The sequence below is a fragment of the Homo sapiens genome, chromosome 1 (genome assembly GCF_000001405.40).
Source record: "Homo sapiens chromosome 1, GRCh38.p14 Primary Assembly".
NCBI classification, from domain to species: Eukaryota; Metazoa; Chordata; class Mammalia; order Primates; family Hominidae; genus Homo; species Homo sapiens.
In genome coordinates this window covers 113,072,927-113,100,070 of record NC_000001.11, presented here as the reverse complement: position 1 = coordinate 113,100,070, position 27,144 = coordinate 113,072,927, and the positions used below count along the sequence as shown (strand labels likewise).

Here is a 27,144-nt window from a genome sequence, read left to right as displayed (position 1 = left end):
ACTAAAAACTACACATATTTAATGTGTACAATTTGATGAGAACGTGCATTTTTAAGAAAGTTATGAAATTTAATTATTAATCAATGCAAAACATAGCATAAAAGTGTCTATCAAGATGTTAAAGCTCAATGAGGTGAACAACCATCTTGACCACTGATAAACTGGTAATTTTCAGATGTTAAATTCATTATATTCCTCATGTCTCCATTCAGAGCAAAAGATTGTCAGATGAAAGAAATTCAGACAAGTGTGAACCTTTGGAGAAATTCTTCTCATGGGAAAAGATCTAAAATCTTATGTGAGAGAATGCTCTACTTCTGCTAGATAAATTACTCACAAATCTCCTACAATTAAACAAACTACAAATTAAACAGATTACCAACACATTACTCTACTTTCTCAATGCATTCCTTTTACTTGAATAGAAATTCTACTTCCATAAATAACTTCTCTTTAAGTGTCCACAGGAATGCTTTTTCAATAAAAAGTGCCCCGACAACAACAACAAAAAAACACAAAAACAAAAAAACTAGCTGGGCATGGGGGCTCATGCCTATAATCCCAGCACTTTGGGAGGCCAAGGTGGGAGGATCACTTGAGCCCAGGAGTTCAACACCAGCCTGGGCAATATAGTGAGACTCTGTCTCTACAAAAAAAAAAATTTTAATTAGCTAGGCATGGTGATACACACCTTTAGTCCTAGCTCCTTAGGAGGCCAAGGTGGGAGATCACTTGAGCCTAGGAGGTTGAAGCTGCTGTGAGCTGTGATTGCACCACAGCACTCCAGCCTGGGTGACAGAGCAAGACCCTGTCTCAAAAAAAAAAAGAAAAAAACCAGCCAAGTTCAGTGGCTCATACCTATAATCCGGGCACTTTGGGAGGCTGAAGCAGGCAGATCACGAGGTCAGGAGTTCAAGACCAGCCTGGCCAAGATGGTGAAACCCTGTCTCTACTAAAAATACAAAAATTAGCTGGGCATGGTGGCATGCGCTTGTAATCCAAGCTACTCAGGAGGCTGAGGCAGGAGAATTGCTTGAACCAGGACCTAGGAGGCAGAGGTTGTAGTGAGCCGAGATCGTGCCACTGCATCCCAGCCTGGGATACAGAGTGAGACTCAGTCTCAAAAAAACGAACAAACAAACAAACAAAGAAACCCCACAGAGCTCCCAGAGTGTCAGAAAGCTCAGACTTTGTAGCCATATGAAATAAACATAATTCAATCATATTTACAGCCGGTTCTTGAAAACATGCCTATGTAGACATACATAAATATTATAATACATACAGTTTAGTGAGACTTGTGAGTCCAGCAAAGGCTTCACTAGCATCTTCTATGGCCCATGAAATTTCATTGTTTCTTAAGTCTCTACAAAAATGTCAGAGAAAGACAGGTGCTATTAGTCAATACAACCATCACAACATTGAGCAGTATCCTGGTATGGTGATGTCAAGGTACACATGCTAATTCTGATCCTTACTTTAACAGTTATTTATGATGAAGGCTCAACTCTGCTTCTTAAGAAATATCTGTAATAAACACGTAAGAAATATCTGTAATAAACACGTAAGAACTGATTCTTATAAGCTAACAATTAAGCTGGCCTTGGTAAATAAAGCAACCTGCTAAAAGTATTACTCTTCCAAGCAAAGAGCCCTTCATTATGTTAGCATATTAAAAATTATAAACAGGGTCCTGAAAAGAGCAGGAGGGTTTCAAGATGCAGGGTATATGGCTTATAAATCTGATTTCAGATTAATGGGATTTCTGGGTGACCCAAGCCTTCCTCTGGGACCTTGAACTTACAATGGCTGACAGAGAGTAATATCAATACAGTTTCATTGCTCAAGAGCAATTAAAGATGCCCCATGGGAAGCAAAAATGATAAACCCATGTGTTAGCGTGTCATCAGATTTTCTTTCAAAGGGAAAGTATGGATCTCCTAAAATTCACTGTTCCATTCTCAGAGGAAATGCAATTGTACCACATCATGTTATGATAAAAGAATTATTTCCATATAATTAAAAATATTTAATCGCTTTTGCTTCCTTAAGTCATCTCATAATAAAGCACAAAGCTTTCTACTTTATAAGGGACATGTAGAGTTGTGTGATTAGCAGTAAAGAGGAGATCCCTGTTTTCACTTAGCTTTCTTTAAGTGAAAAGCTAATAAAGCTCATTTTATTTTACTAAGGAATAAATAATGAAAGAACCAATGGCTCAACTCTTCAGGATTTTCCCCCTCCTCCACAGCACAGCATAAATAGAAACCATTCAACAAATTAAGAACTGTATCTACCCTGGCAAGAGCATGAGGCTAAAGCCAGAATTCCCCAGATTTGATCCTAACTCTGTCTTAACTATCTCTGTGGCACTACACAACCATTTACTTCTGCTATTACTTCCCAAAACTTTAATTCTAAAAGTAATAATCAGTGGTATACTAAAATAACCTATTTGCCATCCCTTCAACTGCCAAAAGGCTGCAGCTACATCTAAGTTTCTGAGATTGCATTGATCCAGTTTCACTTCTGATAATATAGGAAAAGGAAAAATACAATCACTTTTAATTTTTCAAGGCCAAATCTAAAGGAATTTTTTAAAAAATCAAATACACACCTGTGCATGTATATACCCTTCACAAAATTATCTTGTTTTCCCTCTCATTGATGGTTATGTCTCCAAGTTGGGAACCTGCCTCTTCTCTGAACCATTTCAACTCGAAACCTAATGACCACAAAGTCCTCTATTCAGGAAGCTTAAGAATCTACAAATTCTACTAATTACTCTTTGTTTTCTTTTATTCTGCTCTGTGTTTGAGATTACTATATTTCATTAAAATACCTCTTCATTTAATAAAATTATATTCTAAAATTAGATATATTTATATATAAATATATAAAGTTCACAAAAACACATTCTTATATTCTGTAAATTGAATAACTTACAGAACCACAGAATTTTAGCGTGGAAACTGCCTTTAGCAACCATCTAATCCTATATCCTTCCTTCACCGTATAAAGGAGAAAAAAAAATGATGGCCAGGAAAAGCTAAGTGATTTTGTTCTTCTGTTGGTATGATAAAATGGACATGAGCTTTAGCATCAAACAGACCTGGGATCTGATTCTGGCCCAACATTTACAAGCTATGTGACTTAGAGAAAATTATTTAAATTTCTCTGAACCTCAGCCTCCTAATATGGAAAACAGCAGTATCATCCTAGTATTTGAAAGTACCTGGCACATATCAGATAATAAGTATTAGTTTCTTCTGTCCAAAGTCATGTAGCAAACCAGTAACAGTGAACTGGTCTCCTACCACGGCAGTTCCCACTACACAACCTGCATCCTTTCGAATGAGAACTAGTAGCTCTGGTGTATTGTCAAAGTCAAAGGAACAAGAAAATGACTGCTCTCCTGACACTAGCAACTGTGTTTTATTCCACAGCAACTAACACAATAAGACATGCTTTGATGCTTATGGGATTAACTCAGAATTAAACTACAAACTGAATTGCCTACGACAGGCTTGGGATTTTTATGGGGATGGAGACAAATAAGACTGCCTTGCTCTGAGGCATAGGACAGAAGAACCACAAAATGTTAGCATACAGAATTTGCAGACTGATTAGTTGTTTTAATTAATTTGCTTTATTGTACTAAAAAAATCAGTAACAACAACCAAAAAGGAGAATGGATATACTTACAATGTCTGAAGATTGGAAAGAAATCTAAATACACCATCAGCAATATGAGTGACTCTGTTGTCTCCTAAATTCAATCTCTCCAATAAGCTCAGACCCACAAAGGCAGATTCATCCAGGCGGGTCAGCTGGTTATAGGACAAATCACTGAAAACAAGAAATGTGGAAGGTAAGGAATTCATTGTATTTGGTTCAACTTACAATTCTTATTATATCTACATGGTAAATTTAGAGCTTTCTACAAATTTCTAGTAAAGAGGGATGTTACATCTCATTACTGCCCATGGGAATGATTTATTCCAATCTGCTCTAGTCTTAACTGCCTCCAGTGAAATGCTATCCAACACTTACAGTTCGGATAGTCTTTGGCAGAACTCCCATGCATCAGGGCTGATTCTTTCAATAGCATTCTGGCTCACATAGAGCTGCTGTAACATTCGCAAGCCATACAACCACCCCTTGTTTACTCGTGTAAGGTTGTTGTGTTCCAGTTCTCTGCAGAATTAGAGAAAGAGAAGAAAATACGTTCCAAAACAAGGCAGTTCAATAACTAGCTTTAAATCTTAAGTTTTTCCCAGAGAAGCATATACCTTTGTTCAACCCAACTGAGCTGACCAATTCTATTCAATAAAAATGAATATCTTATTTAAGATTTAGTGCTTGGCCGGGCACAGTGGCTCATGCCTGTAATCCCAGCACTTTGGGAGGCCGAGGTGGGCGGATCACAAGGTCAAAAGATCAAGACCACCCTGACCAACATGGTAAAACCCCATCTCTACTAAAAATACAAAAATTAACTGGGCACGGTGGCGCGCGCCTGTAGTCCCAGCTACTCGGGAGGCTGAGGCAGGAGAATCGCTTGAACCCATGAGGCAGAGGTTGCAGTGAGCCGAGACTGTGCCACTGCACTCCAGCCTGGCAACAGAGCAAGACTCTATCTCAACAACGACAACAAAAAAAGAGATTTAGTGCTAGAAGGTAGTAAGACTGTCTAAAATAGGAGCTCTACAAAACCAACAGGCCAAGTGGTATAGTATACCTGTTTGGATAAATTCTGGTAATTTTCATTAGCCAAAACATTAAGAATATAAACTTTTTGGCCGGGCACGGTGGCTCATGCCTGTAATCACAGCACTTTGGGAGGCCAAGGTGGGTGGATCATGAGGTCAGGAGTTCGAGATCAGCCTGACCAACATGGTGAAACCCCATCTCTACTAAAAATACAAAAATCAGCCGGGCCTGGTGGCACACGCCTGTAATCCCAGCTACTCAGAAGGCTGAGACAGGAGAGTCACTTGAACCTGGAGGCAGAGGTTGCAGGAGCTGAGATCACGCCATTGCACTCCAGCCTGGGCAACAGAGTGAGACTCCATCTCAAAAAAAATATATATATATATATAAACTTTTTAGATGAGAAGTTTGTAAGAATTATTTCAAAATTGATCAGTTAGCTAACAAAACTTTAAAGGTTTTATGTACGCTTACTTCACATCAGTGACCAGGGAATGAATGAATGTATCTCTATAATCAGAACAACTACCCTAGCCATTCGACACTGAAAAGTCCCAAACAGACTACTTTCCTAATAATCACCTCTAGTCCCGAGTACTTACAGTTCTTCCATGTTATTCAAGCCAAAAAATGCTCCATCCTTAAGTTTGCTAATTCCATTCCGCTGCATTTTCAAAGATCTTAAGGAGTCAAGCCCTTGGAATGTAAGACCTTCCACAATTTTAATTCTGTTTCTTTTAAGTTCCCTTTAACAAAAATAGTTTTACAGTCAGGAAATTGGTTTGCTAAAATGTTCTAACAGTAATTAAATTAAAAAGAAAAAGACCCTGTAAGAAAAAACTATCTTCTTATAATCCGTCTATTTCGTTACTCACAAGAATTGGAGGTGAGGCAGCTTGAAGATCTTAGGTGGAATCATGCTCATTCGGTTACGGTTTAACTTTACCACTAATAAGGAACTTGATAAATTATCGAAGCAACCAGCCTCCAAGGTGGTTATTCTGTTATTACTTAAATTCCTAAAATAAACAAGATAATAGCAAAAGAAAAAATTTAGTAAAATAAAAATTCTACCACTAGAAAGCTGCCAAAAATCTATGTCTAAGCCCCCAGCTCTATCACTTAATGCCCATCCACAACTTTATAAATCATTTAACTGCTCTGTTTCTTCATCTACAAAATTAAGAAGCTACCTACTTCATTTAGGTTGTTACAAAACAGCATGTGTGAATATGCTTTGTAAACTGGAAAACACTGGCACACATGCTAATTATCATTATATACAGTAAGCCATTGTTTAACAAATCTCTATTTACCTTTTAGAAAGCTTGGTTCAAAAAAAAACAAACAAAATTGAATCTCAAAATTACCCTTGATATCTACCAATATTTTCTGACAATAGTGCGATCTTTCTTTAGGGGGCTTGTGGGGTGAGTGGCAAAGCCAACCACCCAACACACCAACTCTAGGTTTGTCTCACATATGCATATAAAAAGCACAATAAATAACCAAATATTTTTGGATAGGTACTGATGAATAATAAACATGTGCTTTATTTTATTTTATTTTTATTTATTTATTATTATTATACTTTAAGTTTTAGGGTACATGTGCACAATGTGCAGGTTAGTTACATATGTATACATGTGCCATGCTGGTGCGCTGCACCCACTAACTCGTCATCTAGCATTAGGTATATCTCCCAGTGCTATCCCTGCCCCCTCCCCCCACCCCACAACAGTCCCCATAAACATGTGCTTTAAAGTAAATCTAATTTAATCTGTGTTACTTACAGGTATTTAAGCTGCATGCGAGGAAATGAAGATGTCTTGATTTCTGATATTATATTTGAGCTGAGGTCTAAACTCTCCAGAGCAGGGTAAAACTGGAGTGCCTGTGCATTTATTTCTGGGATTATATTATGGACTCTGTAAAACAAAGATTATAATGAAGCTGCTGCCACTGATCCACCCCAGGCCACAAAAATGTTAATTAGAATCAACAATATATGTGCTTTAAAAAAAAAATGTATACTTTTCATAATTTAAGTAAAAAACCTGAAAACTTACTAACTTACAATGAAAGTAGAGTAATATTAGATGTAGGTTCTCCAAAATACGGGATTTCTGTTAGTTCATTGTAATTCATTTTCCTAGGCAAGAGGAAAAACAGATTTAAATGTTTAGTGAGGGAAATATTACCTCTTGGATTCTACCTTCTGGCTAACACATATTCTTTAGAATAGGTGCCAAATTTGAAAAAGAATATGACTCAGAATGAGTTAGACGAAAATAAAAATGTATTTATTGAGAAATTAGAGGTTTTAATGAGAAATGTATTTTCTTTCTTTTTTTTTTCTTTTTTTTTTGAAACAGAGTTTCATTCTTTTTGCCCAGGCTGGAGTGCAATGGTGCAATCTTGGCTCACTGCAACCTCTGCCTCCTGGGTTCAAGTGATTCTCCTACCTCAGTCTCCTGAGTATCTGGGATTACAGGCATGCACCACCACGCCCGGCTAATTTTGTATTTTTAGTAGAGACAGGTTTCACCATGTTGGCCAAGCTGATCTCAAACTCCTGACCTCAGGTGATCTGCCCACCTTGGCCTCCCAAAGTACTGGGATTACCGGCGTAAGCCACCATGCCTGGCCAAGAAATGTATTTTCATAGTGTTGATCTACTATTGATATTAATATCAGAAAGGTTATGAAGTATTTTGCACATTAAATATTGTTAGTTCAAGCAAAGTTCTTTGAATAAGTTGGGTTTATGGCAGCTAATTTGAGTCCTTAAAGAAGGCATAATCAGTCCATCCAGATCTCTCTTTCTCTAAATATATATAAACACACAACACACAAATGTATATATATTTTTTCTAAAGCTATACAAATGTTAGAGAGTGTTACTTGAGACCACAGATGAAATTTATCAGCCCACCCAGAGATGGAACCTATGACTAATTTTACAGATAACATAACATGTTGCATCTGATCCCAGCAGCCCTTTAAACAGTTTGTCTCAAATGTTTTAGTAGCAAATCTAATACAATCACATTTCATTAACCTGGTTTTTAGTCACTGAACAACCTCAACAATCTAGAACACAGAAAAGAAACCAGAAGTAAAGACCTTCAGGAAACCAACCAAAGTTACAAAGTCCATGCAATAAAGCTCATGCACTTCCCACTGAAGCATTTTCAGGCCTTTCCTCAGTGCCTACTCTTTCAGCTAACAAACTTGTCAACTGTGTACTCATCCACAACGTATTAGAAGCAGTGAATCTGGGGCCAGGAGGAGAGAATGCAGAGACAATGAGCATGAAGAAGTTATCCCTGTTAGCAAAGAATTAAAAAGGAAAGTAAATCTCAGGGTTCTGATGGTGTTAATTGTAGAGGCAAATAGGCCTATATACCTTAACGGTTGTGCCTCTAGGAATGTAACAATGCAAAAACTAATATTAATAATATCTTAGAAAACTCCCTCCAAAATTACATAATACATCTCAGTATTAAAGGAAAAACTTTAGTTAAGAGAAAAACTTAATTCTATCAATCATTACATTCTCATATGATATCAAGAATACTCTATTTCATATAAATCTACTTTAGACATGATGCTCCCAATCTTAGATAACATGTCAAGACATTTAAAAAGGTTATACAACAGAGTTTCACTGGCTGAAAACTTGGCCAAAATCAAAACACATTTACTCTGAAGAGGCGTAAATCTTACTTTTAGCCCCAGGAAGGTAGAATATTTCCCCCACAGCCTGCAACTTGAAATCACCAACCCAATGCCAAGACAGTCTGATAATAACAAAGCCAAAGAAAACATTTTAGGTTTTCAAATAATTTCTTTTAACTAATTTTTTCCTTCAATTTTTTTATGGCATCTCTGGATTAAACATCCCACAAATCACAATTTATTAAGTTCCCTCAGGAATTTAACATAACTTTAAATAAATAAAAATAACTTACACTTCCTGTAATGTTTGTGATTCCAAGCTGATGTTCCAGTTAGACAACCGATTATGACTGAAATCCCTGAAAGAGGACAAAATATCATTCTTAGTTTAGTCCTGGAAAGTAGACCTAAAGAAAAAAAAAGAAACTAAATAGAAATACAAAAAGTCCTCTTGGCCAGGTACAGTGGCTCATGCCTGTAATCCTGGCACTTGGGGAGGCTGAGGCAGGCAGATCACCTGAGGTCAGAAGTTCAAGACTCACCTGGCAAACACCATCTCTACTAAAAATACAAATATTTGCCAGGTGTGGCAGATCACCTGAGGTCAGGAGTTCAAGAATCACCTGGTGAAACCCCATCTCTACTAAAAATACAAATATCATCCAGGTGTGGTGGCACACGCCTGTAATCCCAGCTACTCAGGAGGCTGAGGCAGGAGAATTACTTGAACCCGGGAGGCAGAGGTTGCAGTGAGCCAAGTTCACGTCACTGTACTCCAGCGTAGGTGACAGAGCAAGATTCTGTCTCAAAAAAAAAAAAAATTTTTTTGTTTTCTTTTTGAGACGGAGTCTCGCTCTGTCGCCCAGGCTGGAGTACAGTGGCGCAATCTCGGCTCACTGCAAGCTCCGCCTCCCGGGTTCACGCCATTCTCCTGCCTCAGCCTCCCTAGTAGCTGGGACTACAGGCGCCCGCCACCACGCCCGGCTAATTTTTTTGTATTTTTAGTAGAGACGGGGTTTCACCATGTTAGCCAGGATGGTCTCGATCTCCTGACCTCGTGATCTGCCCATCTCAGCCTCTCAAAATGCTGGGTATACAGGCGTGAGACACCACACCCAGCCAAAAAAATTTTTTTAATAAAAAAAAAAAGTCCTCTTAAATGTCAATTTGAGTAGTATAGACAAGAATGTTTATAAAGGATGAATAAAAATGTATCTGAATTTCAAAATAGCTATTTTACTTTACGTGTGTGTATTTATATATGTGTGTGTAGCTTCTGAGTTTGGGAATATATTCACATGGTCCAATTATCAAAAAGTGTAAAAAGTCTCCCACTTTTGTTTCCAGCCACCCAATTCCCCTTCCCAGTAACAACAAATGAAAATATGCCATTTATTGTGCAGACTTCTGGATATTTTATGCATGTACAGCAAATTTTTACAGAAATGACACAACAATTTACACATTTTGCCCCTTGCTTTTTTCACTCAATAATACATCTTAGGTCATTCCATTGCAGTATTTAAAGAGTTTCTTTATTCCCTGTAGTGATTATGTATTATGCCTTAACTGTAAATACATCTGAAGACATATTTCACAAGTCAAAATGGTGAGCTTCTAAATTAAAATTGAAGTTGACCACATCCTTGATAGGGATGTGGTCTTCCTTTAAAAAAAAAAAAGGCCAGGCATAGTGGCTCACGCCTGTAATCCCAGCACTTTGGGAGGCCAAGGCGGGTGGATCACCCGGGGTCAGGAGTTCAAGACCAGCCTGGCCAACATAGTGAAATCCATCTCTACTAAAAATACAAAAAAAATTAGCCAGGCATGGTGGCACGCACCTGTAATCCCAGCTACTCGGGAGGCTGAGGCAGGAGAATCACTTGAACCCTTGAGGCGGAGGTTGTAGTGAGGTTGTAGTGAGCCAAGATTGCACCACTGCACTCCAGCCTCGGTGACAAAGCAAGACTCTGTCTCCAAAAAAAAAAAAAAAAAAAAAAGCAATCCACCTTCAGTAAGAGGAAATTAATCTCACCCCAAATTATGTTAATAATAATGACGGCATTGGTGGCCAGCATTTATAAAGGCAGACAGGCATTCTTCTATGCACCTGACACATATTAACTGGCTAAATCCACACAACAATCTTATGAGGCAAATACTTTTAAAATACTTTCCTAATATGGAAACAGGCATAGAAAGATCACTGATTGGCCAATCTAAGGTCACACAACTAATAAAAGTTATAAATTTGAAATTTCATCTCACTTCTAGCAAATACTTTATTAGATACAGTAGAGATTTCACTGAAATTAGTCAAGTCTAAATAGTTAAATAGGCTTTAAAAATTCACCTTGATGCTTCTGGCATCTTTACAAGGCTGAGGTGGAATGCAGCCCACACAAGCTGTCTGCCTAAAAGATGTGCTGTATGTTACAATATGGCTAGCAACAGGGACACATTACAGAAACATTACAGATCACTTTATCTCACTATGCCACCATAGGCAGTTGACAGATGCATGCAGGTTTGAATAATGTCTCTATCACATTAGAACAATTTGTTCTCAGCTAGATTCATGCCGGCCTATCAGTAAAAGCTAGCCACTTTCATTTAAGAGCTTAATTTACACCATGACATAACTAAAGCTGTGTGTTAAACCATCACTTTTCCACAACAGTTCTAAAATATTCCAAGATGTCTGGCACAAGGTATCAGCTCAAGGACACTCATGAATGGAGGAGGGTGTCAGAAAATATAAAAGATAAAAATATGAATTCACTACACATAAAAATCTCATATTCAGATACTTCATCCAATTCACTCTTGCTACTAAACAATAAACACATACACTCGTATAAAAATATAAGTGAAAAGATGTTTTTTGTTGTTGTTTTGTGGTGTTTTGACTCAAGGAGAAATTCAACTGTTTTAATTTAAGTTAGATATTCTATATTCTACTCCAAGCTGGTTAGTCTGGCAAATGAAGAGCTAATATCATCTGTGTAGCAGGCTAGCATAATATGATCTAATTTTGTATCTGGTGACTACTATAACTTAGCAGTTTTCCCCTTCCAGATTAAGGGCTTTCATTTTAATCCTAACAGTGTTCATAATGCCTTTCCCAACCCTAAATCTTCCTGGCAATGTAACTCTTGACTGTATTCATCCCCTAGAGTTCTCCTATGATTGTCAATAATCATTGACCCACATAATCATTTTTAAAGAAAATAATTATTAAAGAAATCTAAAGCAATAAAATGAAACTCAATTTATACGTTATAAATAACTTAGTATTTGGTATTAGTGAAAACTGTCCAGTGTCCTCTGTTTTGGGAAAGAGTAATTTTCTCCTATCTTTGAAGAACCTATAGGCTTTTCAATGCAACCCAAAGGATACCTGAAATGCTTTGCAGCCTCTGTACCGGAAAATGTTGTTGAAAGGATATATGCTTTCAAACAGCCATTATAGGTCAGAGCCCCATATAATGAGGCTCTCTGGACCCTCTAAAACAAACCCACATTTATTAAGATTAAAAAACACTAAAGGTGAACTGAAATATATTCCCAAAGCAGTACTATCATAGAAAGCAACTAATATACATCAGCATCAGTACAACTGTTTTAAGTTATCAAGTGTCTAACTAGAATTACATGGATTGATCTGATCAGTCATGCATACAATAAACACTTATTGGACCATGTGCCAGGCAGTGGACTAAGCGCTAGGGTTGTAAGCACTGTCAACTTTAGTAACCTTTTTCTTTTTCCAAAAGCAACACTTAACAATTCTCAGAGGTGCAGTCACTCCAAAACTGTAAGAAAATTCAACATCAACTCTACTATTCTCCTTTACTGCAAATGGGTAAATTAGCTTTTACGCCTAATTTCACTCTGGAATTTGATCAAATGACACGTGCACACAGGAGTGCACAGGCATACTCGTGTTCCCCGTAAGCATGCCTTTCCTATTTCTTTTTTTAAAAGTACCTCCCAAAAGACAGAAGACTAAAATATGAAGACTTCGGGGCCAGGCGCAGTGGCTCACACCTGTAATCCCAGCACTTTGGGAGGCCGAGGTGGGTGGATCGCCTGAGGTCAGGAGTTCGAGACAAGCCTGGCCAGCATGGTGAAACCCCGTCTCTACAAAAAATACAAAAATTAGCCAGGCATGGTGGCAAGCACCTGTAATCCCAGGTACTCGGGAGGCTGAGGCAGGAGAATCGCTTGAACCCAGGAGGTGGAGGTTGCAGTGAGCTGCGATCGTGCCACTGCACTCCAGCCTGGATGACTGAGCTAGACTCCATCCCCCAAAAAATTAAAAAATTAAAAATAAACAAATAAATGAAGACTTCAAATATCAGATTTAAAACTCTTGGAATATGGATTTGGATGATTTTAAAAATTGAAGTCTCTCACTGTTCTTCCCAATGTCCATTAATTCCAGGTGGTTTGCATAATTTTTTTTTAAAAAGCAGGAGTCCTGAAATGGAGAACTCTCTTTCAAATATCCCTAAAATGTACTTAAGAACTTGAAGTAATCTAAAGCTCTGTTGCCTAGGCTGAAATGCAGTGGTGACATCACACCTCACTACAGCCTTCACCTCCCAGGCTCAAGCAATGCTCCTACCTCAGTCTCCTTACAGCTGGGACCACAGGCAAATGCCACCAAGCCCAGCTAATTTATTCTGTTTTGTAGAAATGGGGTCTCCCTATGTTGCCCAGGCTGTAAACCTAATGCTTAATAAACTTAAACCTAAAGTCTAGCTCTGTAACAGTCCTTCCTTTATTTTCTAACACCACTAATATCTGAATATTTATAGATATGATGACAGAGGAGTAAAGGTCTCTCAGAGGGCCTGATCTCAATGTTGTAAACTCAGTTCCCACTCATGCTAATCTACAAGGATGTAGCTGTAATAAATGATGAATTATTAATGTCCTTGATATCATGTGGAGCCAGAGGTGCCATTAATGTAGTCGTTTAGTACCATCAGGGGTAAATTATTTATAGGATGTACAAAGCAATCACAACAGTTCAAAGAGAAAATCAAGTTCAGCAAGCTAATTGCAACAAAGTCCTACAGCAACAGAAATGGAGGGGTTTTCTTCGCACAGTCACACATACATCTGAATCATCAACAATTTTGTTTTCAAGAATATGCAGCAATAATAGGCTGAACCGGGAACTTCAGCAACTTCTGACAAAGAGGCCCTTTGTAAAAGTTAAATCATAAGAAAATATTGTATCTAATATTTTGGGTATGACAGTGCTTCATTTAGCCTGCATAATTTACGCTTCCTTTTGTGAATGGAAATCCTTGCCTTGTTAAGAGTGTACCTAGCATAATTTAGTTTTAAAAATAATACTCGGCCGGGCACAGTGGCTCATGCCTGTAATCACAGCACTTTGGGAGACCGAGGCGTGTGGATCACCTGAGGTCAGGAGTTCAAGACCAGCCTTGCCAACATGGTGAAACCCCATTTCTACTAAAAATATAAAAAATTAGCCAGGTGTGGTGGCGTGTGGCTGTAATCCCAGCTACTCAGAGGCTGAGATAGGAGAATCGCTTGAACAGGAGGCGGAAGTTGCCATGAGCCAAGATGGTGCCACTGCACACCAGCCTGAGCAACAAGAGTGAAACTATCTCAAAAAAAAAAAAAAAAAAAAAAAAACCTCAGGGTTACCATTATAATCAATTACCATATTGTGATTTAACGTGCTTATGATCTTGAATATTCTTGGCGTAAACTGAACTAAACACAAGAATTCTAAAACAACTCTGAAAATTGTCTGCTCTTGTAAGTTGGCTTTCCCTCTACAACTAACAGCTTTACACTAAAAGCTCTCACTTCTTGGAACTTTCAGTCTTCCTTTCTGTAACAGGCTACTTAACTTTTTACAAAATTTGTTTCTAATCAATTGCCATAGGCTAGGAGACCCCACCTCCTGTTAGAACTATCTGAATTAGGAGTAAATGAGATCTGAGTCTTTTCTGTGAATAAATGCTTCCTGGAAGCATTTTTGCTTTGTGGTTGAACTAGAAATGGCTAGCTATATTGGATAAACATTAGGTAAAGATCTTCAGGATAGACCGCGCACAGTGGTTCACGCCTGTAATCCCAGCACTTTGGGAAGCCAAGGCGGGCGGATCACCTGAGGTCAGAAGTGCGGGACCAGCCTGACCAACATGGAGAAACCCCGTCTCTACTAAAAATACAAAATTAGCCAGGCATGGTGGCGCATGCCTGTTAATCCCAGGTACTTGGGAGGCCGAAGCAGGAGAATCACTTGAACCCGGGAGGCGGAGGTTGCGGTGAGCAGAGATCCCACCATTGCACTCCAGCCTGGGCAACAAGAATGAAACTCTGTCTCAAAAAAACAAACAAACAAAAAAACAAGAATTTAGTTACAAGTTGATTTACACCACACTTCACTACTGTTCCTCTGTTAATGGTTTAACTTTAAAACTGCTAATCACCCACTAGTTATTCTGGCAATTATTCTGCCAGTTATTTGTTACAAATAACGTAATTACAGTCTTTTTTGGGAAAGGCTGAGGAAGGCAAAAGGAGAAGAGATAGAGAATACAAATACCTTAAAAAACTGGTTTACAACAAAGTAAAGTTCAATTAACTATTCCATTCTCCAGGTTTTTCCGCCAAACATGAAATCAATAATTTGGATAGAGTGTAATTACTTAAATTGCTTTTATTTTTTATTTGCACCAACTGAATATTGTAACATTTTTCATGACTGAAATAATACAGAATAAATGTGTTGAGTCATTTTCTCTAGCATAGGAAATATAAGAATGCTTTCAGAGTATTTCTAAAAAACATTTTGCTAAGCCTTTACTTAATATGATGTGATCTTTTCTCAACTGGTTAAATGCCAGTTTTCCATCAGGATTGAAAGACCTTTAAAGAATAAAGCATATAAAATGTCATCCATCTAAGATGAAGGAAATGTATTTTCTAGCATTAGGAAACCAAGTGATTATCTTAATATACAAGTAATCCTTTGATTACTCATGTGCTGATTTTGTTTTAATTGGAAAATGCAAAACATTTTTAATATAATGAAACATAATTAGGACGTTAATCTCTACAAAAATAAACAGGTCCTTCAAAGCAGAAAATAATTTTAAAGAATTAAGTATGCCGGGCGCGGTGGCTCATGCCTGTAATCCCAGTACTTTGGGAGGCCGAGGCGGGCGGATCACAAGGTCAGGAGATCGAGACCATCTTGGCTAACACGGTGAAACCCCGTCTCTACTAAAAATATAAAAAATCAGCCGGGCATGGTGGCGGGTGCCTGTAGTCCCAGCTACTCGGGAGGCTGAGGCAGGAGAATGGCGTGAACCCGGGAGGCAGAGGTTGCAGTGAGCCGAGATTGCGCCACTGCACTCTAGCCTGGGTGACAGAACAAGACTCTGTCTCAGAAAAAAAAAAAAAAAAAAGAATTAAGTAAAGCACAGATTTCCTCAACTAACATTCAATAAGCAAAAATTGCTTATGGTTCAGTGGTTCTCCATCACGGCTGCACATTAGCCTCACTAGGGAAGATTAATATTGATAGTTAAGTCCCACCCCAGACCAAACAAATCAGAGAATCACTGGGATAAGGCCAATATTATTATTATTATTATTATTATTATTATTATTATTATTATTATACTTTAAGTTCTAGGGTACATGTGCACAACGTGCAGGTTTGTTACATATGTATAGATGTGCCACATTGGTGTGCTGCATCCATTAACTCATCATTTACATTAGGTATATCTCCTAATGCCATCCCTCCCCCCTCCCCCCACCCCACAACAGGCCCTGGCATGTGATGTTCCCCACCCTGTGTCCAAGTGTTCTCAACAATGGTATTTTGTAAAAGCTCTCCAAGCAACAGTCTAAGGTACAGGTGGGGCTGAGAACGTTACCAGTCCAGAAATCCATCTAATAACCCAAAGCCTGATGGGCAGAGGATGTTCTGAGTTCACATGAGATCTGGTGGCTTAAAAGTGTGCAGCTGGCCGGGCACAGTGGCTCACGTCTGTAATCCCAGCACTTTGGATAGCCAGGGCAGGTGGATCACCTGAGGTCTGGAGTTCGAGACCAGCCTGGCCAACATGGAGAAACCCCGTCCCTACTAAAAATACAAAAATTAGCCGGGTGTGGTGGCACGTGCCTGTAATCCCAGCTACTCGGGAGGCTGAGGCAGGAGAATCGCTTAAACCCAGGAGGCAGAGGTTGCAGTGAGCCAAGATGGCACCACTACACTCAAGCCTGGGCAACAGAACAAGACTCCGTCTCAAAAAAAAAAAAAAAAAAGTGAGCAGCCAGGTGTGGTGGCTCATGCCTGTAATCCCAGCTCTTTGGGAGGCTGAGGTGGGCAGATTACTAGAGTTCAGGAGTTCCAGACCTGGGAGACTCCATATCAAAAAAAAAAAAAAAAAAAGTGTGCAGTAGCCAAGCATGGTGCCTCATATCTATAATGCCAGCAATTAGAAGGCTGAAGCAGGCAGACTGCTTGAGATTCAGAGTTCAAGACCAGCCTGGGCAACATGGCGAGACCCTGTCTCTATAAAATCTACACAAAATTAGCCAGGCATGGTGGCACACATCTGTAGTCCTAGCTACTTGGAAGGCTGAGGTGGGAGGATCCTCAAAGCCCAGGGAGGTTGAGGCTGCACTGAGCCATGATTGCAACACTGAACTCCAGCCTGGGCGTGGTGGCTCATGCCTGTAATCCCATCACTTTGGGAAGCCAAGGTGGGTGGATCACCTGAGGTCAGGAGTTTGAGACCAGTCTGGCCAACATGGCAAAACCCCATCTCTACTAAAAATATAAAATCATTAGTCAGGCATGGTGGCAAGCACCTGTAATCCCAGCTATTCAGGAGGCTGAGGCAGGAGAATTGCTTGAAACTGGGAGGTGGAGGTTGCAGTGAGCTGAGATCTCACCACTGCACTCCAGCCTGGGCAACAGAGAGAGACTTCGTCTCAAATAAATAAATAAATAAGAGAGACCCTGTCTCTAAATAAATAAATAATAGCGTGACACCTCCCCTACACAACTCTCTCTCTCACTCCTGCTTTTGCCATGTGAATTGCCTGCTCCCGCTTTGCCTTTGGCCACGAGTAAAAGCTCCCTGAGGCCTCACCAGAAGCCAAGCTGATGCCAGTGCCATACTTCCTGTACAGCCTACAGAACTGTGAGCCAGTTAAACTTCTTTTCTTTATAAATTACCCAGTCTGATTTAATTGTATATAGCAGTGCAAGAGACTAATACACCAGGGTATAATTGTGTAACAACCAAGCCCAGGTGATCTGTATCAGATCTGTATTAGATCAGATTTCTTTAGGCTCTCTTGTTGCAGATTTTCTTGTTCAGATATCTTATAAACTAACAAAAATGTCTTGAAGATATCACTAGATTTTAAAGGCTCACATTTGCTGTTTACCACTTCCCCAGATATACCAGGATAAAGAAGACAAAATATGTTAAAATCCTTAATACAGTGAAAGCATCGTATATGCTTTGAAATGACTGTTGCAAGTGAAACAGTTCATTGTAACAGTATCATGCAAGCCAGGGGCAAAGTATATTGGATTCTGGAAACATAGCAGCTTTTCCCACGCCTCATGCCCAATTTGGTTTAGGGATTTACTACGTCTTTTATTTACTTAATTTTTTTACTTGGCCACTAATATCCAGTTAAAGTGTTTCTTTTGCAAACTAAAACTGCTGTTTCTGCTACTGTCTAAAAAAGATAATCTTTCTATTACATGAGATTATGTGAGAGACATCCATAATACTTTTGAAGTATCTCAACTTTAGAAATGGGTGGCTGGAGGCCGAGCACAGTGGCTCATGCCTGTAATCCAGCACTTAGGGAGGCTGAGGTGGGCGGATCACCTGAGGTCAGGAGTTTGAGACCAGCCTGGCCAACATGGTAAAACCCCATCTCTACTAAAAATACAAAAATCAGTCAGGCCTCGTGGCGGGTGCCTGTAATCCCAGCTACTCGGGAGGCTGAGGCAGGAGAATTGCTTGAACCCAGGAGACAGAGGCTGCACTGAGCTGAAATCACCCCACTGCATTCCAGCCAATCACGAGGTCAAGAGATCGAGACTATCCTGGCCAATATGGTGAAACCCCGTCTCTACTAAAAATACAAAAATTAGCTGGGTATGGTGGCGCGTGCCTGTAGTCCCAGCTACTTGGGCGACAGAGCAGGACTCTGTCTCAAAAAACTAAAAAAAAAAAAATAGAAATGGGTGACCAGTATACAGTTTCAGACCACTAAAAACACCTCCATCTACAGCTGTCAGCCATCATGACACTCCATGCAACTACTTACTCATTAATATTTAGTAACTATCTAATGGATGCTGCAAGGCTCTATAAAAACAAAGATAAGGGAAAAAATGAAAGATTACTTGTGGATACGTTTTTCCGAATTTTGAGGCAATTAGACGAAACATCCCAGATGCAGAGTCAGATGGGAACCAGAGTTAGTAATAACTTTTTGGGCCAGGCGCGGTGGCTCATGCGTGGAATCCCAGCACTTTGGGAGGCCAAGGTAGGCAGATCACGAGGTCAGGAGTTTGAGGCCAGCCTGGCCAACATGGTGAAACCTCGTCTCTAGTAAAAATACAAAAATTAGCCAGGCGTGTGGTGCATGCCTGTAATCCCAGCTACTCAGGAGGCTGAGGCAGGAGAATCCCTTGAACCCAGGAAGCACAGGTTGCAGTGAGCCAACATTGTGCCATTGCACTCCAGCCTGGGCAACAAGAGCAAAATTCCGTCTCAAAAAAAAAAAAAAAAAAAAAAAACTTTTAGTGTTCCCATATTTAGAATTTTTCTTTGTTTAAAAAGATGATTTTGAAATAATTAGCTAAGATAATGCCCTGATTCATTCACAACATTTACTATGGATAATGAGGTACCTTGAAAAGAAACCATATAGTAAGATAGTTAAAAGACCAGAAGCAGGCCGGGCACAGTGGCTCACGCCTGTAATCCCAGCACTTTGGGAGGCCGAGACGGGTGGATCATGAGGTCAGGAGACCAAGACCATCCTGGCTAACACGGTGAAACCACGTCCTACTGAAAATACAAAAAATTAGCCGGGCGTGGTGGTAGGTGCCTGTAGTCCCAGCTACTCCAGAGGCTGAGGCAGGAGAATGGCGTGAACCTGGAAGGCGGAGCTTGCAGTGAGCCGAGATTGCGCCACTGCACTCCAGCCTGGGCAACAGAGCGAGACTCCGTCTCCAAAAAAATAAATAAATAAAAAAGACCAGAAGCAAATTAGAATGGGTTGCTTTAACTTGTTTTAAAATTTCTCCTGATAGGCTGGGGGCAGTGGCTCACGCCTGTAATCCCAGCACTTTGGAAGGCCAAAGTGGGCCAATCACGAGGTCAGGAGTTGGAGACCAGCCTGGCCAACATGGTGAAACCCCGTCTCTACTAAAAATACAAAAATTAGCTGGGTGAGGTGGTACGTGCCTGTAGTCCCAGCTACTTGGGAGGCTGAGGCAGGAGAATCGCTTGAACCTGGGAGGCGGAGGTTGCAGTGAGCCGAGATTGTGCCACTGCACTCCAGCCTGGCGACAGAGCAAGATTCCGTCTCAAAAAAAAAAAAAAAAAAAATTCGGGCCAGGCGCAGTGGCTCCCAGCACTTTGGGAGACTGAGGCAGGCGGATCACGAGGTAAGGAGTTTGAGATCAGTCTGGCCAACATGGTGAAGCCCCGTCTTGACTAAAAATACAAAAATTAGCTAGGCATGGTGGTGGGCGCCTGTAATCCCAGCTACTTGGGAGGCTGAAGCAGAATCGCTTGAACTCGGGTGGCAGTGAGCCGAGATTGTGCCACTCCACTCTAGCCTGGGCAACAGAGCAAGACTCCGCCTCAAAAAAAAAAAAAAAAAAAGATTTCTCCTGATTTCCCTCCAAAGGTATAACCTTTCTTTTTTCTTTTCTTTTTTTCTTTTTTTTTTTTGAGATGGAGTCTTGCTCTGTTGCTAGAGTGCAGTGGTCTCAGCTCACTACAACCTCTGCCTCCCGGGCTCAAGCGATTCTCCTGCCTCAGCCTCCAGAGTAACTGGGATTACAGGCGCCCGCCACCACGGCTGGCTAATTTTTGTATTTTTAGTAGAGATGGGGTTTCACCATCTTAGCCAGGCTGATCTCAAACTCCTGACCTCGTGATGTACCCGCCTCTGCCTCCCAAAGTGCTGGGATTACAGGTGTGAGCACTGTGCCCGGCCATCTGTACCTTTTTTAAAGGGGCTCATTTTCTTTCTCTTCTTTTTTTTTTTTTTTTTAAATAGGATCTTGCTCTGTCTCCCAGGCTGGAGTACAGCGGCATGATTTCGGCTCATTACAACCTCTGCCTCCCAGGCTCAAGCAATCCTCCTACCTCAGCCCCCCAAGTAACTGGGACTAGAGGTGTGTACCAGCATACCTGGCTAACTGTTGCACTTTTTTTGACAGACAGTGGGTTTTGCCACGTTGCCCAGCCTAATCTTGAACTCCTAGGCTCCAGTGATCAGCCGGCCTCAGCTTCCGAAAGTGCTGGGATTACAGGCGTGAGCCACCGCACCAGGTCACAGGGCTCATTTTCAATTTACCAACTTGTGGTTTAAAGCTATTAAAGTAGATTACTTTCACATTTCAGCTAGATTATCCAACCGCAAGTTACAAAGTTATCTCAAAAAATATTGCCTCCTCTGGCCGGTTGTGGTGGCTCACAACTGTAATCCCAACACTTTGGGAGGCCGAGGTGGGCAGATCACCTGAGGTTGGGAGTTTGAGACCAGCCTGACCAACATGAAGAAACCCCATCTCTACTAAAAATACAAAATTAGCTGGGCGTGGTGGTGCATGCCTGTAATCCCAGCTACTCGGGAGGCTGAGGCAGGAGAAGCGTTTGAACCTGGGAAGTGGAGGTTGCAGTGAGCTGAGACTGGACCATTGCACTCCAGCCTAAGCAACAAGAATGAAACTATTCCGTCTCAAAAAAAAAAAAAAAATGTAGAAAGGAACTGCAAATGATCTGCCCCTTTAGGAAGGAAATATGAAATACAGGTAAAGCTATGAAGTTTTTGCTTGACATCACACAAGTCACTGCTAGTGAGCTCATACTCTTTTAAGGGATCAAGACTAAATCCATGGGAGGCCGAGGTGGGTGGATCACCTGAGGTCAGGAGTTCAAGACCAGCCTGGCCAACATGGTGAAACCCCGTCTCTACTAAAAATACAAAAATTAGCCTGGCGTGGTGGTGGGCACCGGTAATCCCAGCTACTTGGGAGACTAAGGCAGGAGAATCGCTCAAACCCAGGAGGCGGGGGTTGCAGTGAACCAAGATCCCACCACTACACTCCAGCCTGGGCAACACAGCAAGACTCCATCTGAAAAAAAAAAAAGACTAAATCCACATGTTAATAGTGAAAACATAAAGACACATGCACACATATGTTTACTGTGGCACTATTCACAATAGCAAAGACTTTGAACCAACCCAAATGTCCATCAATGATAGACTGGATTAAGAAAATGTGGCACATATATACCATGGAATACTATGCAGCCATAAAAAAGGGTGAGTTCATATCCTTTGAAGGGACATGGATGAAGCTGGAAACCATCATTCTCAGCAAACTATTGCAAGGACAAAAAACCAAACACCACATGTTCTCACTCATAGGTGGGAAATGAACAATGAGAACACATGGACACAGGAAGGGGAACATCACACATCGGAGCCTGTCATGGGGTGGGGGGAGGGGGGAGGGATAGCATTAGGAGATATACCTAATGTAAATGATGAGTTAATGGGTGCAGCACACCAACATGGCACATGTATACATATGTAACAAACCTGCAAGTTGTGCACATGTACCCTAGAACTTAAAGTAGAATAAATAAATAAATAAATAGTGAAAACATTTTGCCAGGGTTACTAAAATAGCTACAGAGGTTGAAGCTCAAGTCACACATGGAAAGACTTCCCTAGAGCTATTCAACATAAGCTTATGTCCTCTATGCTAAAAAACGAATCTGTTCACAACTATTATAAAGAAACAAATGCAAACAAATTTTAAACAATTATAATGAAAATAGAAAGAACTAAAAAACTATAGGTAACTAAGTATATATATAATTCAATAAATTAATCAAGTACAGCACTGGTTCCCAATACTGATCCAAGACAAAATTTTTAGCAGCTGGCCAGGCACAGTGGCTAATGCCTGTAATCCTGGCACTTTGGGAGGCCAAGGTGGGCGGATCACCTGAGGTCAGGAGTTCGACACCAGCCTGGCCAACATGGCAAAACCCCTTCTCTACTAAAAATACAAAAATTAGCTGGGCATGGTGGAGGGCACCTATAATCCCTACTCGGGAAGCTGAGGCAGGAGAATCACTTGAACCCGGGCGACAGAGGTTGCAGTGAGCCGAGATCAGGCTGCTTCACTCCAGCCTGGGCGAAAGTGAGAAACTCCATCTCAAAAAAAAAAAGAAAAAAAATTTAACAGTCTACAGTGAAATAAAACAGTAAGGAAAAGGTTACTTTTATTTCATAAAGCTAAATCTATATAATCTATAGAAGCGTCCTTAACCCTAAAAATACATACTTCTTAATGTTTTGGTACTATCATGAAATGACCAAGACAACACATCATTGGGGGAAAGGGGTTCTAACAAAGTTACTTTGCAAAATAAGAAGTTGAGTCATAAACCTAGTCTTTCAATGCTGTGTATGTGTGTGTAATCAGAATAATGTGAAACAGAGCTCTATACCCACAGAGAACCCAGTCAAGCTCTGAATGATCAAATAATATTCTAGAGAGTTTCTCATACAGAGAAGCATAAAGACAGTATCTGAGTATGTTTCCAAAAATCAGTATTAATGAATTTTGTCCATAATCATTTTGATGGTCACAAGTTTGAGCATATATTTGAATCCCTAATATATTTAAAGCATTACATGTATTTCAACATTCAAAATTACATAAAGAAACCCAAATGTACTGGGTGGTTTTATAGCTAAAGGCAACTGCTGAAGAATGTTTCATTTCTCAATTTAAAATAGTACGGTACTATCTTTTAATATTCTAAGAGTTCTACCAATGTAAGACTTCCATCCAATTACATTTCTACAACTGAATTGTTCTCTAAGTCATTTCACTTCAACTGAAAATGTCATTTCATTATAGGACATTAAAAATTCTGAATGTCACTTGGCTCTAGGCAATTGGTCTTGATTAAACAAAAATCAAACCTTAACACAAAAATATATCTTACATAAAATTACTTCTAAATGTTTACCAACCAACGGAGAATCTTAAATGTAGGCCCGGCTGTGGCCAAGCGCAGTGGCTCGTGCCTGTAATCCTAGCACTTTGGGAGGCCAAGGTGGGCAGATCACCTGAGGTCAGGAGTTCAAGACCAGCCTGGCCAACATGGTGAAACCCCGTCTCTACTGAAAATACAAAAATTAGGTGGGCATACTGGCTCAAGTCTGTAATCCCAGCTACCTGGGAGTCTGAGGCAGGAGAATCACTGGAACCCAGGAGGCAGAGGCTGCACTGAGCCGAGATCGTGCCACTGCACTCCAGCCTGGGTGACAGAGCAAGACTCTCTCTTAAATAAAAAAAAAAAAAAAGTAGGCCAGGCCGGGCTTGGTGGCTCATGCTTGTAACCCCAGCACTTTGGGAGGCTGAGGTGGGTGGATCACCTGACATCAGGAGTTTAAGACCAGACTGGCCAACATGGTGAAACCCCACCTCTACTAAAAATATGAAAAATTAGCCAGGCATGGTAGCGCACGCCTGTAATCCCAGCTACTTGGGAGGCTGAGGCAGGAGAATCGCTTGAACCTGGGAAGCAGAGGTTGCAGGGAGCCGAGGTCACACCATTGCACTCCAGCCTGGGCAACAAGAGCGCGACTCCATCTCAAAAAAAAAAAAAAAAAAAAGTATAGGCCACATTCATTCCAATTACAGCTAAATGAAGCTGTTTTGTCAAATCTGTGCCAGACTTATTGTTATAATCAGGTAGCTCTTCCAAGAATGTCTTAGAAAAAGGCACTTGCTGCATAACAAAGAGGCTGTGCTAGGTTTAACTGACACTACACTGCACACTGATAGGAGTTTTTAAATTTGGGTCAATAAAACCAGAAGTGACTACAGGTGTCACTACCATGAAAGAGAAAGCATCTTACTACACTGCAGTTCTATGTTTACTAAAAGATTTGATTATTTATGTTAATTTTTTCAATGACTACATGAGGTAGCTTTCTTTCCTATCTGTGCTAACCTATTTGCAAATATATAAATACTTCTTAAACTCCGCAACACCTCTTATTTGTATTCTATTTCCAATAAAAATCCAAGCAGCCTCTCATATTTTAATTGCACTTCAACCTATTTTTTTAGTGATGACTCTTTTTTTTTTTGAGACAGAGTTTCACTCTTGTTGCCCAGGCTGGAGTGCAATGGCACGATCTCGGCTCACTCCAACCTCGCCCTCCCGGGTTCAAGTGATTCTCCTGCCTCAGGGTGTAGCTAGTATTACAGGCACGCGCCACCACACCCAGCTAACTTTGCATTTTTAGTAGAGATGGGGTTTCTCCATGTTGGTCAGGTTGGTCTCGAACTCCCAACCTTAGGTGATCAGCCCGCCTCAGCCTCCCAGAGTGCTGGGATTACAAGCGTGAGCCACCGCACCCGGCCCCTCTTCCTCCCCGACCCTCCCTCCCCCCAGACGGAGTCTCGCTCTGTTTTCAGGCTGGAGTGCAGTGGCGTGATCTCAGCTCACTGCAACCTCCACCTCCCGGGTTCAAGCGATTCTCCTGCCTCAGCCTCCCGAGTAGCTGGGACTACAGGCGCACACCACCACACCCAGCTAATTTTTTTGTATTTTTAGTAGAGACGGGGTTTCACCATGTTGGCCAGGATGGTCTCGATCTCTTGACCTCGTGATCGGCCCGCCTCGGCCTCCCAAAGTGCTGGGATTACAGGCGTGAGCCACCGCGCCTGGCCCATTGATGACTCTTTCTTAACGACTCCATCAGAAATCTGTCAGTTAATAAACGTGCTGCTCAGTTAGTGACGAGAAATAACTGTATGTTAGTGGTTAAGAAGCCCCATAATTGCAGCATTTAATACCTGCTGTTGTTCCTAATACCACCAGGCTGACTCAGACTAAGGAGCCCTCCAAGTTCCACTGTCTAATAAAGACCTGTCAAAGTGAAAACTCAACAGTGGAAACTCCAGAATTCATTCAACCGTTGTACCTGCTTTACCTACATAAATAAGCAGAACTGATTTTTGGGTTCTTTGCCACAAGAAGATGCGCTGAAAACAAAGCATCAAATGGTTCTGCAAAAAATACTCCTCCTCTTTACAGTGAAGTTTAAATTAGATCAAGAATGCTACTTACAAAGATATTCTGAATTACAGGATCTCCTGATTCATCATAATGAACTTTTCAACCCTGTTAAGTATCAAAACTGCAGCACAAAATCAGCCAACATGCGAACTAAGGACTAAAGACAGTTCATAGGTCTTTGGCGATTGTGATTATAAAATCACGTGCCTGAGGACCACTAAGTCTGAGGTACACACCAAATCATGCAGCTCAAGATAAGCAGAAAGCACTGTTCCGTGCTCAACCCACCCCCCGCCCCACCAACCATCCAAAGTCAATGCTGGTGCCCAGGACCCGTGAGTCCTTACCATTAAATATGCCCGCCCCATTTCCTCCCCAGTTGAGGAAATCACAGACTCCTTGGCCCCAAGAATCTTAACCCTCGTCTTCATACAATTCTCCAGAAACCTTAACACCGGCTTTTTTAGGCTCCCACCACCTAAAACAAAGTTCATAAAATCCTGACGGCAGTTTCCTTCAGAGCTTAGGCTCTCGACCACACCCTCCGACCAGGCCTGTCTCCCTCCTGCCTGCCCCCTGTAGAGGGAAGGCTCCCCCTCCTTTTGGTCACTCTGCCTGGCCGCTCTACTCACAGGATAGCGGTGTCGGGGGGCAGCAAGCCCGACAGCGCCCTCCAGCTCGGTGCGGGCAATTTCCTGCGACTGCAGTCCAGGAGAGGAATGCGGCAGGAGCAGGGCGCGGGGCAGAGACCTGCTCCGGCGGCGGGCAACAGGAGGAGAGCGGTCTGGGCAATGAAGAGTAACCGAGAAAGCACTCTAGATCGACACCCCAGCAACTGCTCCTCCGGGACGCCTAGGGGCGCCGGCGCCATTTTCCCCCTCGACCTGGACGTGGCCTAGAAGAGCTGCCTGCTAGAAAAGGAGGATCGGCGGAGAAGCTCAGCAGAGATGCTCGGTGGCTGCACTGTCTCCCGAAGCCCCGGCTGAAGGCTGTACCATCTAAAGGCATGCAAGGAGCAGACGCAGCGCGACAGCGGGGTCGACGGCCTGGGACACACGGCCTGACGGACACCTCTCGTCCGCCCCTCCCCACGGCGCAACGTCCTCACGCACAGGGGCCAGCCAATCGGTGCCATAAGATGAGGTTGCGCCCGGGGCGGAACTCAGTGAGGGGCGGGGCCAGACGCAGCCGAGTATCTTGAGGAGAAGGACTTTAAAGCGTTCAGGGATTTTAGCTGCCGCTGTGGAGTTCCGCCGCTGTTCTTCCGCTGGAGGGCGCAGTAGTTCCTTAAGAGGGAATGGTGCGGCGAATAGCTGTGAGTTCAAAGTCCTGACTACAGGTATATCTACTG

General features: G+C 41.4%; 1 protein-coding gene and 1 long non-coding RNA gene across 6 annotated transcripts in view, besides 5 other annotated features; one reads left to right on the top strand and one right to left on the bottom strand.

Moving 5' to 3' along the window:
• Nucleotides 1-26,873, bottom strand: part of LRIG2 (leucine rich repeats and immunoglobulin like domains 2) — a 59,063-nt gene extending 32,190 nt beyond the window's left edge. For 2 of the 5 annotated variants that reach the window (NM_014813.3, XM_005271369.3), the window contains exons 1-9: nt 26,426-26,873; nt 8,688-8,753; nt 6,791-6,865; nt 6,507-6,641; nt 5,589-5,732; nt 5,316-5,459; nt 4,054-4,197; nt 3,706-3,849; nt 1,286-1,366 (exon numbers count right to left, since the gene is read on the bottom strand). In NM_014813.3, the coding sequence (NP_055628.1) occupies nt 1,286-1,366; nt 3,706-3,849; nt 4,054-4,197; nt 5,316-5,459; nt 5,589-5,732; nt 6,507-6,641; nt 6,791-6,865; nt 8,688-8,753; nt 26,426-26,664 (1,172 nt within the window). In that variant the 5' untranslated portion in view covers nt 26,665-26,873. Of the gene's footprint in view, nt 1-1,285; nt 1,367-3,705; nt 3,850-4,053; nt 4,198-5,315; nt 5,460-5,588; nt 5,733-6,506; nt 6,642-6,790; nt 6,866-7,930; nt 8,043-8,687; nt 8,754-10,747; nt 16,030-25,844; nt 26,069-26,425 lie in introns of those variants that run through there. The other 3 variants (NM_001312686.2, XM_024451227.2, XM_047435521.1) reach the window with 3 other exon arrangements.
• Nucleotides 25,704-25,753: an enhancer, noted in NCBI's record as "active region_1527". NCBI's record gives its function as "activates an Ori minimal core promoter by ATAC-STARR-seq in GM12878 lymphoblastoid cells {active_cell/tissue: GM12878}" and the evidence as "EXISTENCE:reporter gene assay evidence [ECO:0000049][PMID:35858748]".
• Nucleotides 26,029-26,560: an enhancer, noted in NCBI's record as "H3K27ac hESC enhancer chr1:113616133-113616664 (GRCh37/hg19 assembly coordinates)". NCBI's record gives its function as "activates a minimal SCP1, AML or CMV promoter by ChIP-STARR-seq in primed H9 embryonic stem cells {active_cell/tissue: H9 hESC(primed)}" and the evidence as "EXISTENCE:reporter gene assay evidence [ECO:0000049][PMID:30033119]".
• Nucleotides 26,353-26,412: an enhancer, noted in NCBI's record as "active region_1526". NCBI's record gives its function as "activates an Ori minimal core promoter by ATAC-STARR-seq in GM12878 lymphoblastoid cells {active_cell/tissue: GM12878}" and the evidence as "EXISTENCE:reporter gene assay evidence [ECO:0000049][PMID:35858748]".
• Nucleotides 26,561-27,094: an enhancer, noted in NCBI's record as "H3K27ac hESC enhancer chr1:113615599-113616132 (GRCh37/hg19 assembly coordinates)". NCBI's record gives its function as "activates a minimal SCP1, AML or CMV promoter by ChIP-STARR-seq in primed H9 embryonic stem cells {active_cell/tissue: H9 hESC(primed)}" and the evidence as "EXISTENCE:reporter gene assay evidence [ECO:0000049][PMID:30033119]".
• Nucleotides 26,593-26,902: an enhancer, noted in NCBI's record as "active region_1525". NCBI's record gives its function as "activates an Ori minimal core promoter by ATAC-STARR-seq in GM12878 lymphoblastoid cells {active_cell/tissue: GM12878}" and the evidence as "EXISTENCE:reporter gene assay evidence [ECO:0000049][PMID:35858748]".
• The window catches only part of LRIG2-DT (LRIG2 divergent transcript), a 61,416-nt gene continuing 61,240 nt past the window's right edge, over nt 26,969-27,144 (top strand). The window contains exon 1 of the long non-coding RNA NR_103777.1: nt 26,969-27,132. This is a non-coding gene — a long non-coding RNA (LRIG2 divergent transcript). The remainder of the gene's footprint in view (nt 27,133-27,144) is intronic.